The 22,396-nt window shown below is 37.2% G+C and overlaps 1 protein-coding gene across 11 annotated transcripts in view; it reads right to left on the reverse strand.

The window, feature by feature from the left end:
- Positions 1-22,396, reverse strand: part of DPH6 (diphthamine biosynthesis 6) — a 401,189-nt gene that overhangs the window by 227,539 nt on the left and 151,254 nt on the right. For 7 of the 11 annotated variants that reach the window (XR_007064493.1, XM_047433263.1, XM_017022708.3 and 4 more), the window contains exons 7-8: positions 9,307-9,401; positions 1,006-1,093 (exon numbers count right to left, since the gene is read on the reverse strand). Coding sequence is in view for 7 of the 11 variants with exons in the window: in XM_047433263.1 (XP_047289219.1) it covers positions 1,006-1,093; positions 9,307-9,401 (183 nt within the window). In the remaining 4 variants the exon portion in view is untranslated. Of the gene's footprint in view, positions 1-1,004; positions 1,094-9,306; positions 9,402-22,396 lie in introns of those variants that run through there. The other 4 variants (XR_001751412.3, XR_001751413.3, XR_001751411.3 and 1 more) reach the window with 2 other exon arrangements.

A 22,396-nucleotide genomic window follows, 5' to 3' on the forward strand; every position in this document is an offset into this window, starting at 1 on the left:
GTTCAAGTAAATCTGAAAAACATTTGGATAGTGTAACTTAATTCTTGTGGGGGTTACCAGCTTTTTGATAAAAGGTCACCAATAGTCATCATCCAGCCCAATTCCACAACCTATTTTTAATCCTGCCCATTGTCATTCTTCTGGAGAACTGGCACCTATAATTATCCTCACCTGTAGAAACCCTCTCATCTTGAGATTTTTGGCATTACCACTCTTTTCCTACTTTTGCCGAATTCTTGTTAATCCTCTTACTCCTTCAGATTTCCTATGATGTAAAATATGTAACTGTGGGTGTGCCTCAAGACTTGGGGGAAAGAACACTAAATATACAGAAGACATTTTCTAATCCTTTTCTGTCACTACACTCATTTCTTCACATAATTTCAGCTATCATTTTTATGGTAACTAATATAAAGCAACATCTGAAGGATGAGACCTCTCAATCAAGGAATCTAATCCAGAACTTTATTCCACAAGATATCTTTAAATTAAAATTTTACTGTATCTTGACAGTGTATTTAAAATAAAACTCTTTATTGTAATTTTGCTTCACTTTCCATCTTCCATTTTTACTTCTCTTTTCCTGGATATTTTTGTAAAGGTTTTATTTCTCCTTTTCCTCTCTTAAGCTTTGAATAATGACAATCCAATTTATCCTCAAACCCTTCCCTTAATGCTTATGTACAGTAACTTAAATGTGATCCTGCTAGATGATTTAATATTTGATTTTATATTGTCCTCCCATTGTTTAATGTATATACTATTCCCTTTTTAACTGACCTGCAAACTTTTCATAAATGTAGTATCTTTTGTATCATATATAACTCAAAACTATAAGCATTTGTAAAATTCTTAGTTATTGACTGAGGAGCTGAAAAAAAACCACTAATGATAAAAATCAATTTTCTTTTTCCTGTCATCTGTTGTTACAGAATTATATATGCAAAGCCAATGTATATATCTCAAATTTCTATTGAAATCACTGTGAATCTTAGATTTACTTGCCTTGTCCTCCAAGTGCAATTCTAAAAAGCGTAGATAAGCCACAGGTGCAAATGCATCAGCTGAATGTATGACTACTTCTGATGAATCCCTGAAATACAAAAATTTTACAATACATTTATATGCTACAAAAATTGTGACAAATCATTCCTCCTACTGACTAGAAGAGACTAAACATTCTTGTTTTATATTTATCTCCATTGGTATACAACATGTAGTGATTAATAAATATTTTTAATAACCCAGTATTTAATTGGGAAAAGGTTCAAGTATACTAAGCTTTTAAGAAAAAACAATGAGGCTTTCTATCTTCATAAGAACATAAGAGTTCAACTTTCAGGTTCACTCAAAGCTCTCTGAACAATTTTAAGACTTAAATTCCTGTTCAATTTCATTTTCACGTATTTGCTTGGTATAGGCTAAGCATTAAACATTAGTGCTTTATCTTCATTATTCTTTTCATTTTCAAGAGGTAATTCATTCAATGTTTCACACAAAATCTCAATTATCCTTCACAAAAGCAGTACTGGTGATGATTTTAAGCTCTAGATGAACTCTTCACACTGCAGTATCATTGCTATTAAAATTGATTGTCTGACATAGTAATGACCACATTCAGGTAAAATGGTATGAACTGCATGCTGGCACCATATGGATACATGTAAATTAACTCAACTTTTATCAAAGATACCCTGTAAAGCACATTTGAATAACTAAGATTATGTGTAAAGTTCTAATAATGAATTATTTTTTATTGTTTATTAAGAGAGTAATAATGTTTTGAATTTCAACTGAAAATTTAAAAATAGAAATTCCTCATATCACTTTAGTGCCTTGGGAAGTACTTCTATTGTTTATATTAATAGTTAGCATTTTGACCATTGTAGTACAGTAAAATAAATCCTGACATTGACATTTTGTCGCTAATGTAAAAATATTTTTGAATCGACTTGTATCATGCAAAGTTACTCGGTGGCAATAGAAGAAATCTCAAAATATTTGGCTCCAAATTATTAAACTTTCATAAGCAAAATGTTTACTTCCCACTTGAAAGATCAAGAAAAAAGTACGTTTGATGATTAAAAACCCCAATTATCATTCATGAACCTTTAGTATCAAATATGTATCTTTCTAATGCTTAGAAAAAATAACATTAAAAAGGCTTCCATGACATTAAAAGGAAAGCAACTTATAACAGACATAGAATCATTCAAGATTCAGCATCCTGATGGAAACATATAATTTGCCTTCACAGTCTACATCAACCAAAGATGCCACCAGGTATGATGAGGAGCAGCAGCAGAAAGAGAAAGTACAGAGGAGGCCCTCCTGCTTGCTACCACCTGTCCCTCTGGCTTGACCCCAACTTGGTTTGTTAGCCCTAATCTTACTGTTTTTCCATTTCCTCCACAGTTGCCTGCTCTGGTCCTATCTTGGCTCTTTAATCAAACCTCAATTCCTATTATACAATCTTACTCTTACATTAAATGTCAATATATCTGTTCCAGACTTTAGCCTTGGACACTGACCCTGAGCCTTAACTATGTCTAATTCAGGCAGCTTGGTTTTGATATTCTTGACAATGGGGTGCGCCAAAACTATAATTAACCTGAACTAATACTATCTCAGTAGAAAGGGTTTTAGGTCCTCCCTTCTCATGTCAGTTATCACCACTAGAAACAGAGGGATGACAGCAAATAGCTTAAATGATCTGAATCAAGATTATTACCCAGAGAGAATATATGACATTCTGAGCACTAAATGAAGAAGACTCCAGTTTTTATAAACTCTATTAAATTCATAATTTCTAATTGACTAACATAATTTCATTCACTTATACAAAGGAAGAGTCAACTGGGAGAGACCAGATTTCAAATGAACAGCTTTCAGTTTCAAGCAGAATAATACCACTCACTATTGCTCTTCTCTCTCATATACTATCACAGTGATACTCAAATTTCAAGGAACTCTGGTCTCTGCTTCATGGATTTCTCTGAATCCTGAAAGCAGAATCTGTCAGAATATCCTCAGATTAATCCAGAAAACTAAGACAATTGTGCCACAGCAAAAATGCTCCCCAGCTGGCTGTCCTCCTTTCCTTTCTCCATTAATCAGTGTAGCAGTTACCACCTGTCATATAGCTAGGTCTTTTCCACAGCCAAGAGCATGCCCATGTTCTCTTTCATTACTACACTAGGCTCACCCCTACTTAACAACATCAAATGGGCAGCTGGGTTTGGTTTGGGCCTCTCTTCCTTGATACCAGCCTCCTGAGGTGTTGGGGTCAGGCTCTACCTCTCACCTCAAAAAAAAAAATGGTATTCCCTCTTGAGACTCAGCCATGGTCTTTGTCCCCACCTCTCCTCTAAAAGGACAACTACGCTAAGCTGGGACTGAACCACTGTTTACCTCTCTTGCTCAAACATACGGTTTCTGTATTCACTAAAAGGTATACAGATATTCCCCACAGACTCACACTTATCCTCACAGACATCTCAAATGTTATTTCCATGAAGCCTTCCCTGACACCCTCAGACAGTACTAGTTTTCTCCGTTATGTGCTTCAGTATTGCATTTATAGCCCTTTCATAACACATCCACTACATTATAATTATGTGTTTGTGTGCCTTTCTTCGGGGAGAGGAACCAGTTTTGTTCATCTTTGTCTGCCTGTCCCTGTTCTACCCCACCCTGAGCTCTGTATAAAGTACATTGCCTAATATTCATTAGATATTTGTTGAATAAATGAATGTACAGTTAAACTTTGTTAAGTATCCTCACAATTACACACTAATTAGTGAAACTATTAGAAACTCACAGTGATTTTTCAATTACCTATCTTCATGTGAATACAGTCACGTGCCACATAATGCTATTTTTGGTTAAAGGCTGACTGGGTATTACGGTGGTGCCATAAGATCATAATGGAGCTGAAAAATTCCTATCACCTAGTGACATCATAGCTGTCATAATGTTGTAGCACAATTTTATTTTAAAAATGAATTTAGTGTAGCCTAAGTGTACAGTGCTTTTAAAGTCTACAGTAGTGTACAGTAATGTCCTAGGCCTTCCATTCACTCACCACTCACTCACTGACTCACCCAGAGCAACTTTCAGTCCTGTAAGCTTCATTCATGTTAAGTGCCCTGTACAGGTGTACCATTTAAAAAATTTTTTATATCATATTTTTACTGTACCTTTTCTATGCTTAGATACATTTAGATATATGAATATTTACCACTGTGTTACAGTTATTCAGTCTCCAGTACAGTAATATGGTGTCCAGGTTTATAGCCTAGGAGCATACAGCCTAGGTATGTAGTAGGCTATACCATCTATATTTGTATAAGTATACTCTGGTGCTTGCAAAATGACAAAATTGCCTAACAATGCATTTCTCAGAATGTTTCCACATTAAGTGACTCATGACTGTACACACTTTCTCATACATGCATACTGCATATATAAACATATTCATATATGCACATATATATACACCAATAACAGTATATGATATCTCTACCATAATAAAAATAAAGATTAGTAGGTCTGAAAATTTAAATATAAGGAAAATAGCTCATAAATTTAAATAAATTCTCAGATGATACAGAATCAATGTAAGAAGGCAAATAAAGTATTTGCTTTATACTCATTTTGAAACACGGCATTACGGTGTTCTGTATTGAGTTATGCCTTGAGTGGGCAGAAAATATGAGTAGGTGGGGATGAAAATGAGGATAAAGTGTTTTAACCATAGGATTTGGTTCTTCCTTTCTTCTTTTTTCATTCTTATTCTTCCGTCCACCCATCCATCCATCCATCCATCCATCCATCATCTATCCATCCCATATGTGGCAACTTTGTAGCAGTAATACAGTGATACTGATGATTAAAACAGAACTATAGAATTGTCTCAAATACTGACATAAAAATGTATACATGAAGAGAGAGAAGAAAATGACTACTTTCATTAACACTACCTTAAGATTTTAGTTATGAATATACATATATATGTAAAATAAGTAATAAGAGAGCAGGTTTCTAATTTGAGGACCTACAATTATCCTTTTCTCTTAAAAGCTAGGCTATAATTCTTCTCAGGAGGGCTTCTCAGGGAAAAAACTCATTTTCTCATCTCAAAATTTCTATCTAGAGGTGAATGACTTCATCTGTCAATAGACACGAAAAGTGAATTGTAAACTGTTCTAGGTAGAAATATAAAAAATTATTTCCAGACAAAGCCTGTTATACTAGTCTTTCCTAAAAACATTTTAAAATGTTAATTGGAATTTGGGCAAAAGGTATCTCATAATAAACTTCTACTTATTTATCATTTTTTATTATTGTTATTCATATTGTTTTTTTTTTTAGAGACAGGGTCTTGCAATGTTGCCCAGGTTGGAGTTCTGTGGTGCAATTATAGATGACTGCAGTCTCGAACTCCTGGCCTCAAGTGATCTTCTTGCCCTGCCCTCCCAAAGTGTTGTGATTACAGGCGTGAGCCACTGCACCTGGCATAATAAACTTCTAGAACCACACTGATCTCTCTAAATTACTTCATTATACAAAAAAGATTCAATCGTGGAATCTACAAAGAACTTAAACAAAATTTACAAGAAAAAAACAACCCCATCAAAAAGTGGGCAAAGGATATAAACATACACTTCTCAAAAGAAGACATTTATGCAGCCAACAGACAAATGAAAAAATGCTCATCATCACCTGTCATTAGAGAAATGCAAATCAAAACCACAATGAGATACCATCTCACGCCAGTTAGACTGGCGATCATTAAAAAGTCAGGAAACAACACATGCTGGAGAGGATGTGGAGAAACAGGAACAATTTTACACTGTTGGTGGGAGTGTAAATTAGTTCAACCATTATGGAAGACAGTGTGGCGATTCCTCAAGGATCTAGACCTAGAAATACCATTTGACGCAGCAATCCCATTACTAAGTATATACCCAAAGGATTATAAATCATTCTACTATAAAGACACATGCACATGTATGTTTATTGTGGCACCATTCACATAGCAAAGACTTGGAACCAACCTAAATGTCCATCAACAATAGACTGGATAAAGAAAATGTGGCACATATACATCATGGAATACTATGCAGCCAGAAAAAAGGATGAGTTCATGTCCTTTCAGGGACAAGGATGAAGCTGAAAACCATCATTCTCAGCAAACTATCACAAAAACAGAAAACCAAACACTGCATGTTCTCACTCACAAGTGGGAGTTGAACAATGAGAACACATGGACACAGGGAGGGGAACATCATGCACCAGGGCCTGTCAGGGGTGGGGGGCTGGGGGAAGCATAACATTAGGAGAAATACCTAATGTAGGTTATGGGTTGATGGTTGCAGCAAACCACCATGGCACGTGTATACCTACGTAACAAACCTACACATTCTTCACATGTACCCTAGAACTTAAAAGTATAATTTACAAACAAACAAACAAACAAACCCCCGAGGTATTGGTACAACTGCATTCTCTCTTGGGACTTTAGAGGAGAATCTGTTCCTTGCTTTTTCTAGCTTGTAGAAGCTTCCCACATTTCTTGGCTCATGGCTCCATGTCACTTGAGTCTACTTCCGTTGTTACATCCCGTTCTCTGACTCGGACCCTTCTGCCTCTTTCTTCTAAGGATCCTCATGATTACATTGGCCCACATGGCCCCTCCCTCACCTCAAAAAAGATATCTAATTATAATCAAATAAGTCTGCATGTAAAATTTATTTTTTCTCGCCTTAGAGGTAGTCTTCTTTTTTTGTAAAAAATAAAATGTCATTTGAATCAGACGTTTGAAGTAGGATTCCTAATAAATGATTAGTTGCGTGCTAATAGTGGCAGACAATTATTACATCAAATATAACAGAAGTTATAAAATCTGTCCCCAAAATGAATTCTAAATGATTGGATCCAGAATTATTAATACTCAATTGTTAAAAAACAGTTACAGGAACTAAGCTCATCTTTTAATTGTATTATATGGAAGATTATATCTAAATAATATAACTTTCATTTACATACAGTTTTAGAATGCACAAAACATGTTCACTCACATCTTCGCATTTATTGTATATCAGGCAGGTATGCTTAGGACATTTCAATTTTAAAGAGGAGGGGAGATTTTGTTTATATTAAGTGATATCCTTTTTCTGCCAAATGAGGATATTTCCCAACCTATAACTTCAAGTTATAACCTAACAAATAAATACATAAAAGTATGTGAAATACCATATATAAACAAAAATAAACAACAACAAATTACAAATTAGTCCAACAGTATTTAGCAAATAGCCTAATGTATGCTCTGATAAGTATGAGAACAAGCACTGGAGGCAATGGCAGCCAAAGCATATAAAAATGAAAGGATTTAGCAAAGTGGTCAGAAATGAGAAGGCAATCTAGAGAAAAGGTATCACAAAAGAAAAGTATGAAGCTGAAGTGAGGCATAGCCTATGAAGAAAAAAAAAAGCAAAGAATATGCTTAAGCATCAGAATTAGATTGGTGATTAACTCATAAATGAGTAACAATGAAAAGACAGGGCTTCCTTTGTGTTTACAAGGTACATACCTGCGTGGTAGCACCTATCAGTTATTGTTGATTTGCCTGTCCATCTCTTTGGTTACAGGAAGAACTCCTACAGAGCAGGGCAGCAACTTGCAGAGTTCTACTCACACTTTGCACTGAACAGCTCATTTTAGCACTAGAGGGTTCTAACCACCTTCCCTGACATCTTCTCTTTAACAGCATGAGTAATTCCCTTCATGCCACTGTCTCTGTCAGGCTTAGGTTTCCTTGCCTACAAAATGAGGAGGTTGAAAAGGATTCATATTCTAGGTCTAAAATACTGTGATAAACATATCTTCTGGTTATGTAGAGTAAAGCAGTACATGTCTTGTAATTCCATGTTGTCCATAAAGACTTCCAGGTGCTCTGGGACCTCAATTTTTCTGGCAAATAGAGAAAGTATTATTCTTTGGCATGTTTTCCACTTATTGCTGTGCTTTTTTTTTCTGATTTGGTTAGTCCTATATTAACAAGTAAATATATCCTAAATTTTCTACTATAATTTCACACTAGCTTGCAAATGTTTTTCTTGAATAATATAACGTATTATTTCATAGAAGTAATAACTTATCAATAGTTGACTCATTAATTGTTTTGGGATCATCATGGGCAAAATAAATATGTCCTCTCCCATAAATAAACTTATGACTTATTTTTTACCACCTTTTATCGTAATTACACACAGATGTCTTTTTCTACCCCTTTGAAGGCAGAAACTATTTGAACATCAGTGGTGCCCAGGAGAACACTTTGGATGTAATAGGTACTTGATGAGTATTTGTCAAATAAATAATGATTATGTTGATTATTAATGGAAAAGAAATTAGAAGAATATGAAAGCAAGAGTGCATGAATATTGCATATGGTAATGAAAATGTCTTGTCATATTTTACAAATTGCATTTTTTAAGAAAATCCACCTAGAGTTGTTGTCTTAATTTTCTTAGATCACTCCTTCCCTCATTATTAATATGCACAAAGAGGTTAAGTCTTAGTGTTAGAAATACTGAAGCCTTCCATTCAATCAAGCATAACTCTGACAATCTTTTCCATGATGCATACAGGCTTAAGAAAAGCAGATAGTGTTCTCTTAGCATATAAAGAGAGCAACATAAATTAGAGCATGGATGATAAGGTAACAAACTGAAGAAAGTTTCTGTTTTTCACTACACTAATTTTAACAATTTATGGCAAAGAAATCACACTACTCACCATCAACTAAATTCATTTAAAAACAAAGTTTATGTGTAAAAATAACCCCAAATAACTGAAGAGAAATGTTTACATTACCATTCTGAGTTGTTAAAGCCAAGAAAAAGAAAAAAGAGGAAGGAGTTAATGGAACCCACAGGCTACTGATGTGGCAGTTTATCAAATGTAGCTGTAATGAAAGATAAATAATACAGGCAATTCACACTTCATGAAAGGATAAAAGTGTCGGTGTGTAGGTACCAGTTTTACTGCAGGCCATAATCAGCAAGTAAACGAAAGTGCAATGTCTAAAAAGTTTATAGCCTTCTATGAAGGCCTCGTCTTGTCAGGTATTGATTTAGATATTCAGATAACTTCACTGGTATTAAACAAATTGAGTGTTTGTGAACTTAGAAGACATGTTCTATTTTTCCCAACAAAAGTTGCCTCAAGCTTAATGTTCAGTTGCTTCCATCACTTAAATTTATGGGAAAAAAAGAAAATGCTGAAATGATATCTTACACAATTATTTTCTTCTTAAATAGAGGGCAATCCAAAGTGAAAGTTTCATACTCTCCACCTTCTCCACAAACATGTACTCCATACTTCTTAGAAAGCTGAAAATAGGAAAACACAAAAAACAAGAAAGAAGTTTAAAATTAGACAGCATAAATGCTCTCTTATCTGGTACTAAAAAATCCATACAAAAAACTTTAATTCCAAAATAGTTTGCAAGGTAAGGAAAATTAATTATATTTCTGCTTAAAACCTGTTTAAAGCCATTTCAAAAATGTTATCATAAGGCATAGGATCCCCAAGAATGCCAAAACTCTTAAAAAAAAATAACATTAAGAGGCCAGGCGCGTTGGCTCACGCCTGTAATCCCAGCACTTTGGGAGGCCGAGGCGGGCGGATCACAAGGTCAGGAGATCGAGACCATCCTGGCTAACATGGTGAAACACCGTCTCTACTAAAAATACAAAAAAATTAGCCGGGCATGGTGGTGGGCGCCTGCAGTCCCAGCTACTCGGGAGGCCGAGGCGGGAGAATGGCGTAAACCCGGGAGACGGAGCTCAGCCGAGTTTGCAGTGAGCCGAGATCAGCCTGGGCGACAGAGGGAGACTCCGTCAAAAATAAAAACGAAAAACAAAACACACACACACACACACACACAAAATTAAGATTATTGTAAATTTGGGGAATGACAGTAGCCTCAGATTCAAAGCTAGATTCAGTCACAATGTAATAAACAAAAATATATGCAGCCAAATTGGGCTCCCCCAACTCTTTGCCTTTAAGTGGAAGGGAATGAAAACGCTGTGTTTAGTGAATTTCTCAAGGATACAGAAAAAGCAATATAAGGCCTTTCCTTAGGCATGAACAAAAAGAAGTCACATACATGTTTATTATGCTTGCAGTTGTTATTAGGAAAGTTCCAAGGGCACTGAGAACTAGTAAAGTTCCAAAGCTGCAGACAAGCCTTAAGAAGGTCCAACTTCAAGAAAGGTTGGGTAACTTACAAATTTGTCTAATCAAACCTGAAATTAAAAAAAAGAAAAAAAAAACCAAGCAGCAAAACACAAAAAAACCTATGATTTGCATTAAATATAAGCCATACCATTTAAATAGTCTTGATATTGAGAGTAAAAAAATCTCCTATCTGGTTGGCATATGTCTGGCATCAGTGCTGGGGAGCACTCTCCTTTCTACTCTATGCTATTCACCCTTTCTAACAACTTTCCACCAAATGAACTTTCTAATTACACCTTTATAACTTATGACCACTCTCTTTATGTGGGGAGTATACCTTATCATTTATTAGCATTCTTTTATTAGAAAATGTTTTACTGAAGTTCTGTGTAATTTCTGTAATCCACCACCAAAGAATAACTACATTTTTAAATTAAATTTGGTATGGTTATTATCCTATAGAAGTGGTTCTCTTAGTCCCTAGTAAAATAATGTAAGCTGCTATGTTAAACCAAAATATTACCATTATAAAAGACTCATATATTCAAGAGGAGACTTTAAAATCTGGATGTACCCAGTGATATTTTCAATTCACATAAAATATTTCTATCACATTCATTCATTCAGTCAGTTCTTCGACAAACACTTTTTGAAAAATAGTTATTAGCCAGGCCTTGCTAGATGATGAAGTTTCAAAAGTAAACAAGATAACGAGACAACCTTCTTGGTCTCTTGAAGCTTACCAAATATACTGTACTCTGTATTTTAACATCACACACTAATGACGCAACAGCGATATTGCCTCTATAAATGAATAGGCACAATGTCTTCTCCCTTTCTATTACTGATTCACCAGTATTGACACATAGGTTCCAAGTCAAGAAATTGGGATAAAGAACCCAGTGGTTTCTATGGCTGAGGAACCAGGAAATAGTATGACTAAATCCTTACAATATCTTCTGTGGCCTCTCTAAATTCTACAAGCTTCAAGCTCTAATAGACACAAGTACTGAGAGAAAAATTCAGCTTTGCTGGATTACTTTTAGCCAGCTCAAAGGCCCTTTGATGTCTTGAGAGAACCTCCTCAAGAAGTAAAGCCTATGCCAGCCACTTTCTTTAATGAATCTTCTAAGACACAGCACCTTATTAAAAAGCAGAATCTTTGTAGCACAAAAGCATGACGTATGCATGTGATAGGTCAGTTTAGGTATGTGAAGCATCCAGATGTGCACATTCTAGACACTTATTTATGGTGTACAACCTTTCTATTTACCTTTCTAAAAGTTAGTAGTACTAATATTTACACTGTTCATAGAAAACAGCAACTTTATTCCTAACCCATCTCAGGTCTGTCTCTGGCTTCGACTCAAAATTGGGATTATTGTATCCTAGCACTTAATCATTCCAAATGCAATTTTTGCCATTCTCTTTGATAAGCTTCTCTATCAGTATCATTGTAATGAAAAATACTAAATCATTAACAGATTTTTGAAAAGTTTAATTTCTCAATGAATTTTCATGATTCTTTTCATAATTTAAGTAAACAAAAATAACAAACTACATTGAAAAACACATAGTTTTCATGCCATCTATTCTTTCACTAAGTTATTCTTATACAGATGTATTTAAAGCTATGACATTTGATAAGTTCATTAAGAGAAGTATAGAGAGAACTTCAAGGCCGAGGCCAGGAACTAGATGCTAATAGCCTTCAAAGTCATGACAATCAAAAATGTCTGCAGATATTGCCAGGTGTCATTTGTGGAAAAAAAAATCCCAGCTACTCAGGAGGCTGAGGCAGGAGAATCGCTTGAACCCAGGAGGCGGAGGTTGCAGTGAGCCGAGATCGCACCATTGCACTCCAGCCTGAGGGTCAAGAGTGAAACTCTGTCTCAAAAAAATAAAAATAAAAATAAAAAATCACCCCTCATTGAGAACCACTGGCATAGTTGTTACCACCCCTATGCATGCAGGGATGAGGAGAAGGAACAGCTACAAATGGGATCTAATTAAACTAGGGAGCTTCTGCACAGCAAAAGAAACTATCATCAGAGTGAACAGGCAACCTACAGAATGGGAGAAAATTTTTGCAAGTTACCCATCTGGCAAAGGGCTAATATCCAGAATCTACAAGGAACTTAAACAAATTTACAAGAAAAAAAACAACCCCATCAAAAAGTAGGTGAAGGATATGAACAGACACTTCTCAAAAGAAGACATTTATGCGGCCAACAAACATATGAAAAAAAGCTCATCATCACTGGTCATTAGAGAAATGCAAATCAAAACCACAATGAGATACCATCTCATGCCAGTTAGATTGGCGATCATTAACAAGTCAGGAAACAACAGATGCTGGAGAGGATGTGGAAAAATAGGAACACTTTTACACTGTTGGTGGGAGTATAAATTAGTTCAACCATTGTGGAAGACAGTGTGGCGATTCCTCAAGGATCTAGAATTAGAAATACCATTTGACCCAGCCATCCCATTACCAGATATATACCCAAAGGATTATAAATCATTCTACTATAAAGACACATGCACACGTATGTTTACTGCAGCACGGTCACAATAGCAAAGACTTGGAACCAACCCAAATGCCCATCAATAATAGACTGGATAAAGAAAATGTGGCACATATACAGCATGGAGTACTATGTAGCCATAAAAAAGGATGATTTCATGGCCTTTGCAGGGACATGGATGAAGCTGGAAACCATTCTCAGAAAACTAACACAGGAACAGAAAACCAAACACTGCATGTTCTCACTCATAAGTGGGAGTTGAACAATGAGAACACATGGATACAGGGAGGGGAACATCACACACCAGAGCCTGTCAGGGGGTCAGGGGCTAGGGGAGGGATAGCATTAGGAGAAATACCTAATGTAGATAACAGGTTGATGGTTGCAGCAAACCACCATGGCATGTGTATACCTATGTAACAAACCTGCACATTCTGCACATGTATCCCAGAACTTAAAGTATAATAATAATAAAAAAAGGCAATATGATTTCCTCAAAAACTTATTTTATAATTTTCATTTGTATAAAAGTGTGTTTATTGTTTCACATTTTTTTTTATTATTATACTTTAAGTTTTAGGGTACATGTGCACAACGTGCAGGTTTGTTACATATGTATACATGTGCCATGTTGGTGTGCTGCACCCATTAACTCTTCATTTAGCATTAGGTATATCTCCTAATGCTATCCCTCCCTGCTACCCCCACCCCACAACAGGCCCCGGTGTGTGAGGTTCCCCTTCCTGTGTCCATGTGTTCTCTTTGTTCAATTCCCACCTATGGGGTGAGAACATATGGTGTTTGGTTTTTTGTCCTTGTGATAGTTTGCTGAGAATGATGGTTTCCAGCTTCATCCATGTCCCTACAAAGGACATGAACTCATCATTTTTTATGGCTGCATAGTATTCCATGGTGTATATGTGCCACATTTTCTTAATCCAGTCTACCATTGTTGGAAATCTGGGTTGGTTCCAAGTCTTTGCTATTGTGAATAGTGCTGCAATAAACATATGTGTGCATGTGTCTTTATAGCAGCATGATTTATAATCTTTTGGGTATATACCCAGTAATGGGATGGCTGGGTCAAATGGTATTTCTAGTTCTAGATCCCTGAGGAGTCGCCACACCAACTTCCACAATGGTTGAACTAGTTTACAGTCCCAACAGTTTAAAAGTGTTCCTATTTCTCCACATCCTCTCCAGCACCTGTTGTTTCCTGACTTTTTAATGATCGCCATTCTAACTGGTGTGAGATGGTATCTCATTGTGGTTTTGATTTGCATTTCTCTGATGGCCAGTGATGATGAGCATTTTTTCATGTGTTTTTTGACTGCATAAATGTCTTCTTTTGAGAAGTGTCTGTTTATATTCTTTGCCAATTTTTTGATGGAGTTGTTTTTTTCTTGTAAATTTGTTTGGGTTCATTGTAGATTCTGGATATTAGCCCTTTGTCAGATGAGTAGGTTGCAAAAATTTTCTCCCATTTTGTAGGTTGCCTGTTCACACTGATGGTGGTTTCTTTTGCTGTGCAGAAGCTCTTTAGTTTAATTAGATCCCATTTGTCAATTTTGGCTTTTGTTGCCATTGCTTTCGGTGTTTTAGACATGAAGTCCTTGCCCATGCCTATGTCCTGAATGGTAATGCCTAGGTTTTCTTCTAGGGTTTTTATGATTTTAGGTCTAACATGTAAGTCTTTAATCCATCTTGAATTAATTTTTGTATAAGGTGTAAGGAAGGGATCCAGTTTCAGCTTTCTACATGTAGCTAGCCAGTTTTCCCAGCACCATTTATTAAATAGGGAATCCTTTCCCCATTGCTTGTTTTTGTCAGGTTTGTCAAAGATCGGATAGTTGTAGACATGCGGCATTATATCTGAGGTCTCTGTTCTGTTCCATTGGTCTATATCTCTGTTTTGGTACCAGTAGCATGCTGTTTTGGTTACTGTAGCCTTGTAGTATAGTTTGAAGTCAGGCAGCATGATGTCTCCAGCTTTGTTCTATTGGCTTAGGATTGACTTGGCAATGCGGGCTCTTTTTTGGTTCCATATAAACTTTAAAGTAGTTTTTTCCAATTCTGTGAAGAAAGTCACTGGTAGCTTGATGGGGATGGCATTGAATCTATAAATTACCTTGGGCAGTATGGCCATTTTCACGATATTGATTCTTCCTACCCAGGAGCATGGAATATTCTTCCATTTGTTTGTATCCTCTTTTATTTCATTGAGCAGTAGTTTGTAGTTCTCCTTGAAGAGGTCCTTCACATCCCTTGTAAGTTGGATTCCTAGGTATTTTCTTCTGTTTGAAGCAATTGTGAATGGCAGTTCACTCATGATTTGGCTCTCTGTTTGTCTGTTATTGGTGTATAAGAATGCTTGTGACTTTTGCACATTGATTTTGTATCCTGAGACTTTGCTGAAGTTGCTTATCAGCTTAAGGAGATTTTGGGCTGAGACGATGGGGTTTTCTAGATATACAATCATGTCATCTGCAAACAGGGACAATTTGACTTGTTCTTTTCCTAATTGAATGCCCTTTATTTCCGTCTCCTGCCTGATTGCCCTGGCCAGAACTTCCAACATTATGTTGAATAGGAGTGGTGAGAGAGGGCATCCCTGTCTTGTGCCAGTTTTCAAAGGGAATGCTTCCAGTTTTTGTCCATTCAGTATGATATTGGCTGTGGGTTTGTCATAGATAGCTCTTATTATTTTGAGATATGTCCCATCAATATCTAATTTATTGAGAGTTTTTAGCATGAAGGTTGTTGAATTTTGTCAAAGGCCTTTTCTGCATCTATTGAAATAATCATGTGCTTATTGTCTTTGGTTCTGTTTATATGCTGGATTACATTTATTGATTTTCATATGTTGAACCAGCCTTGCATCCCAGGGATGAAGCCCACTTGATCATGGTGAATAAGCTTTTTGATGTGCTGCTGGATTCGGTTTGCCAGTATTTTATTGAGGATTTTTGCATCAATGTTCATCAGGGATATTGGTCTAAAATTCTCTTTTTTTGTGGTGTCTCTGCCAGGCTTTGGTATCAGGATGATGGTGGCCTCATAAAATGAGTTACAGAGGATTTCCTCTTTTTCTATTGATTGGAATAGTTTCAGAAGGAATGGTACCAGCTCCTCCTTGTATCTCTGGTAGAATTCAGCTGTGAATCCATCTGGTCCTGGACTGTTTTTATTGGTAAGCTATTAATTATTGCCTCAATTTCAGAGCCTGTTATTGGTCTATTCAGAGATTCAAGTTCTTCCTGGTTTAGTCTTGGAAGAGTGTATGTGTCCAGGAATTTATCCATTTCTTCTAGATTTTCTAGTTTATTTGCATAGAGGTGTTTATAGTATTCTCTGATGGTAGTTTGTATTTCTGTGGGATTGGTGGTGATATCCCCTTTGTCATTTTTTATTGCATCTATTTGATTCTTCTCTCTTTTCTTCTTTATTCATCTTGCTAGCAGTCTATCAATTTTGTTGATCTTTTCAAAAAACCAGCTCCTGGATTCACTGATTTTTTGAAGGGTTTTTTGTGTCTCTATTTCCTTCAGTTCTGCTCTGATCTTAGTTATTTCTTGCCTTCTGCTAGCTTTTGAATGTGTTTCCTCTTGCTTCTCTAGTTCTTTTAATTGTGATGTTAGGGTGTCAAGTTTAGATCTTTCCTGCTTTCTCTTGCGGGCATTTAGTGCTATAAATTTCCCTCTACACACTGCTTTGAATGTGTCCCAGAGATTCTGGTATGTTGTGTCTTTGTTCTCGTTGGTTTCAAAGAAATCTTTATTTCTGCCTTCATTTCGTTATGTACCCAGTAGACATTCAGGAGCAGGTTGTTCAGTTTCCATGTAGTTGAGCGGTTTTGAGTGAGTTTCTCAATCCTGAGTTCTAGTTTGATTGCACTGTGGTCTGAGAGACAGTTTGTTATAATTTCTGTTCTTTTACATTTGCTGAGGAGTGCTTTACTTCCAACTATGTGGTCAATTTTGGAATAGGTGTGGTGTGGTGCTGAAAAGAATGTATATTCTGTTGATTTGGGGTGCAGAGTTCTGTAGATGTCTATTAGGTCTGCTTGGTGCAGAGCTGAGTTCAATTCCAGGATATCCTTGTTAACTTTCTGTCTCATTGATCTGTCTAATGTTGACAGTGGGGTGTTAAAGTCTCCCATTATTACTGTGTGGGAGTCTAAGTTTCTTTGTAGGTCACTAAGGACTTGCTTTATGAATCTGGGTGCTCCTGTATTGGGTGCATATATATTTAGGATAGTTAGCTCTTCTTGTTGAATTGATCTGTTTACCATTCTGTAATGGCCTTCTTTGTCTCTTTCGATCTTTGTTGGTTTAAAGTCTGTTTTATCAGAGACTAGGATTGCAATCCCTGCCTTTTTTTGTTTTCGATTTGCTTGGTAGATCTTCCTCCATCCCTTTATTTTGAGCCTGTGTGTGTCTCTGCACGTGAGATTGGTTTCCTGAATACAGCACACTGATGGGTCTTGACTCTTTATCCAATTTGCCAGTCTGTGCCTTTTAATTGGAGCATTTAGCCCATTTACATTTAAGATTAGTGTTGTTATGTGTGAATTTGATCCTGTCATTATGATGTTAGCTGGTTATTTTGCTCATTATTTGATGCAGTTTCTTCCTATCCTCGATGGTCTTTACAATTTGTCATGTTTTTGCAGTGGCTAATACTGCTTGTTCCTTTCCATATTTAGTGCTTCCTTCAGGAGCTCTTTTAGGGCAGGCCTGGTGGTGACAAAAATCTCTCAGCATTTGGTTGTCTGTAAAGGATTTTATTTCTCCTTCTCTTATGAAGCTTAGTTTGGCTGGATATGAAATTCTGGGTTGAAAATTCTTTTCTTTAAGAATGTTGAATATTGGTCCCCACTCTCTTCTGGCTTGTAGAATTCTGTCGAGATATCAGCTGTTAGTCTGATGGGCTTCCCTTTGTGGGTAACCCGACCTTTCTCTCTGGCTGCCCTTGACATTTTTTCCTTCATTTCAACTTTGGTGAATCTGACAATTATGTGTCTTGGAGTTGCTCTTCTCGAGGAGTATCTTTGTGGTGTTCTCTGTATTTCCTTAATTTGAATGTTGGCCTGCCTTGCTAGATTGGGGAAGTTCTCCTGGATAATATCCTGCAGAGTGTTTTCCAATTTGGTTCCATTCTCCCCATCACTTTCAGGTACACCAATTAGACGTAGATTTGGTCTTTTCACATAGTCCCATATTTCTTGGAGGCTTTGTTCATTTCTTTTTATTCTTTTTTCTCTAAACTTCTCTTCTCACTTCATTTCATTCATTTTGTCTTCCATCGCTGATACCTTTTCTTCCAGTTGATCACATCGGTTACTGAGGCTTGTGCATTTGTCACGTAGTTCTCATGCCATGGTTTTCAGCTCCATCAGGTCCTTTAAGGACTTCTCTGCATTGGTTATTCTAGTTATCGATTTGTCTAATTTTTTTTCAAAGTTTTTAACTTCTTTGCCATTGGTTCGAACTTCCTCCTTTAGCTCGGAGTAGTTTGATCTTCTGAAGCCTTCCTCTCTCAACTCGTCAAAGTGATTCTCCGTCCAGCTTTGCTCCATTGCTGGTGAGGAGCTGCATTCCTTTGGAGGAGGAGAGGCACTCTGATTTTTAGAGTTTCTGGTTTTTCTGCTCTGTTTTCTCCCCATCTTTGTGGTTTTGTCTACCTTTGGTCTTTGATGATGGTGACGTACAGATGGGTTTTTGGTGTGGATGTCCTGTCTTTTTGTTAGTTTTCCTTCTAACAGTCAGGACCCTCAGCTGCAGGTCTGTTGGACTTTACTGGAGGTCCACTCCAGACCCTATTTGCCTGGGTATCAGCAGCGGAGGCTGCAGAACAGTGGATATTGGAGAGCCACAAATGCTGCTGCCTGATCGGTCCTCTGGAAGTTTTTTCTCAGAGGAGTACCTGGCTGTGCGAGGTGTCAGTCCGCCCCTACTGGGGGGTGCCTCCCAGTTAGGCTACTTGGGGGTCAGGGACCCACTTGAGGAGGCAGTCTGTCCATTCTCAGATCCCAAGCTGCATGCTGGGAGAACCACTACTCTCTTCAAATCTGTCAGACAGGGACATTTAAGTCTGCAGAGGTTATTGCTGTCTTTTGTTTGTCTGTGCCCTGCCCCCAGAGGTGGAGCCTACAGAGGCAGGCAGGCCTCCTGGAGCTGTGGTGGGCTCCACTCAGTTCGAGCTTCCTAGCCACTTTGTTTACCTACTCAAGCCTGAGCAATGGTGGGCGCCCCTCCCCCAGCCTTGCTGCCACCTTGCAGTTTGATCTCAGACTGCTGTGCTAGCAGTAAGCGAGGCTCCGTGGGCGTAGGACCCTCCGAACCAGGTGTGGGATATAATCTCCTGGTGTGCAGTTTGTTAAGCCCGTTGGAAAAGCGCAGTATTAGGGTGGGAGTGACCCGATTTTCCAGGTGCCGTCTGTCACCCTTTTCTTTGAGTAGGAAAGGGAATTCCCTGACCCCTTGCGCTTCCCAGGTGAGGTGATGCCTCGCCCTGCTTTGGCTCATGCATGGTGCACTGCACCCACTGTCCTGCACCCGCTGTCCGGCACTCCTCAGTGAGAGGAACCCGGTACCTCATTTGGAAATGCAGAAATCACCCGTCTTCTGCGTCGCTGATGCTGGGAGCTGTAGGCTGGAGCTGTTCCTATTCAGCCATCTTGATCCCAACTGCAATCTCACATATAGCTAAAGTGTGCTGTGTTCTCTTTTAGAGAAGGTGAAAATTGGGTTGCCATCTAATTAATGTTAGGTTAAGCTTTTGAAAACATTTGAACAGATGTGGCTAACTTGGGTGATTTCATGGTTTGTAAGAATGCCTTGGGGTTTCAGCATTTTAAAAATGAATTCCTAGTAAATTAAAAAGAAATTACTTACATGAATCTATTTTCTTTCTGGCACACTTATTTATATAGATAAATATTCATATTCATGGTAGCTCCATTGGAATACTGCTGATTATTGAACTGAATGGCTAAGGGCGTCATGATTTCCCTAAGATTGTAATAATCATAATTGTTGAATTTCTTATTAAATCAAACTTTTTCTTCTTTTAAATCAGTCTCACTTATCTGTTAGTCATTTTAAAATGGAAAAAAAAAAAAAGCCAAACTCATACTTCTTCACCTTTCACCTCCACCTAGAGGAAACAATGAGGTTTACAAAAATCGCAATTTCATTTTATAAACGGTATTCTTAACATAGAAGATAATTCATTCATAACACTTATTAAGGATGTATTTACTGAATATCTACTCTAGGTTTAGTATTGTTTTAGGTACTAGGGATAAAAATGGGAGCAGCCATGTATCCTGCATAAAACAGCTTATTGTCTTGTATAGACCAAAATTTAAATAAGCAATTACAATATAGGGTAGTGATTATTTTGGCAGATGCATGAAATGCTGTGACAGTATAAAGCAGGGTACCAATCTAAAAGGAAGCTAAAAGTCTTCTCAAAGTAAATAAAACTTAAGCTGAGTTCTAAAGGATTAAGTTAACCCTGAAAGATGGAAGGGGGAAGAGAGAAGGTAAGAGAGAAGGAACGAGTATTCTAGAAGAAACTGCATGTGTTAAATCCCAGAGCACATGATAGGTACTAGAAATTCAAATGAGTTTGGCATAGCTGGAGCATAACTGGATGAGTAATGGCAGTGAGACAAGGCTGAAAGTCTAGACAGAAGACAGGTCTTACACGGCTTCATAAGCCATGCTAAGTCATTATCCTAAGGTCAGAGAGAACCCACGGAGAGGTTTTAAGCAAAAAACTGACCTGATTGCATCTGCATTTTAGAAACATCATTTTGGATGAATGATGGAGAAGGGGCCTGGATGTAAGTCTAGAAGCAAAAAGAACTGAGCAGCTGGAGGAATCTAGGCAGGAGGTGAAGGTTTCCCAAGCTGGCAAGTAGCAATGGGGATGGAGAGGAGAGAGTAGATATTTTGAGAGATTTTCTTTAGAGGCTGAAACTGTAGGAGAGAAAATGTAGTATCTCTTCCTCTTCCATCATAAGGTTCATGGTTGAGGAACTTATGACAAACGATGAATTAGAAAAGAAAAGCAGAAAAGCATACAAATTTATTTAATAAGTTTTATATGACATGAGAAGACTTCATAATGGAATGAAGATCCAAAGAAACAGGAAATGGTTTTTTTGTTTGTTTGTTTTTAGAGTTGTGCAGAAGTATGAATGGAGGACAAAAGGGTATGATCTAATGGCAATAAACTGGGGTGGAACTCAGCAAGGCCAATTAGTTCAGATTCTTTTCTGTATCCTTGTGTAACATTCCTTTCCTCTGGGTGTAGAGAGGATGGCTCCGGAATGAAGGTCTTATGACTTTAGGGGAAAGTCAAAGGATTCTTTTATGGCCCACTTCAGGGCCATAAAAAGAATGGAGGGAGGTCAGAAAGTGACCTTCCTGCTTCTGCTGTTTTCTCGAATGTCAAGGTGGCATAGTTTGGGGTAGTGTCCTGAACTCCATCAAAATTAACAATTAATTGAATGGAGGATTGAGGAAAGTTAAAAAAGAAATTTAGGAAAATTCTCAGCTTTCTGCATTTGGAAAGTGGATAGATGGTAGTTCTGTTTACTGATATAGAGAACTTAGTATGAGTAGTAGTTTTCTGGGAGAGTCCAGAGGCCTTATCCTTTTCCAATTTATGTGGCATATAATACCACTTATGTCTCAAATCTTTTGATTATCTTCCTCAGGCTTCCACATTACTATATTTTCTAAGTTATTGTTACGCTTCTCTGACTCCTTTCCTTCCTGCTGTTCCTAAGTTATAAATATCCCTCACTGTTTTATCTAGAATATGTTCTTCTCTCTTAATGCATTCCCTATAACAGCACCATGCACTCCATGGCTTCAAACATCACCTTTATGCTATTCTGCTGCTGCTAATACTATCACTACTAATTAAAGACTATTTGGTTTATGACTTAAGGTTAAGATAATTATATTATCATCTTATTTAATACTCAAAATGACTTTTAAAAATAAAAAAGAGCACAGGCTTGAAATCAGATAAACTTAACCATAAATTCCAGTTTTGCTACTTCCCAGCTGGGCAATGGAAATACTCACCCCATGAGTGATTCCTCATTGTAAATAATAGTACTGATCTCATAGATGATTAAATAAAATAATGCATAAAAAGCACTTAGCACAGTGTACAGCACTTAGTAAGCACTTAATAAAAACACAACTTAATTCTAAGAGTGGGTACAGTGCATGTTGTAATGAGGCACAGTGAAAGCAGCATTGCATCATCAGTTAAAAGCACTGGCTTTGGAGACAGACAGTTCTTGGTTCATTCAAATCCTGGCTGTCACTTTCTAGCTACATGATCTTAGGTTATGTAAGCGCTTTCTCTGAGCCTTGAACTTGTGATCTGTAAAATGGAGATGACAATAGTACCAACCTCATAGTATAACTGCTTTCAGGAATAAAACCACATGAATGGAATGCCAAAAGTGCCGTCTAGCACATAACATATACTCAATAAAGGGGCTGCTAATTTTATTTTTTACTCTTTTCCAGAGGTAAAAACTAGCTTGATTTGCAAAAGTTATCAGCTTAGAACCAAACAAA

Source organism: Homo sapiens, chromosome 15, assembly GCF_000001405.40.
Source record: "Homo sapiens chromosome 15, GRCh38.p14 Primary Assembly".
Taxonomy (NCBI): domain Eukaryota; kingdom Metazoa; phylum Chordata; class Mammalia; order Primates; family Hominidae; genus Homo; species Homo sapiens.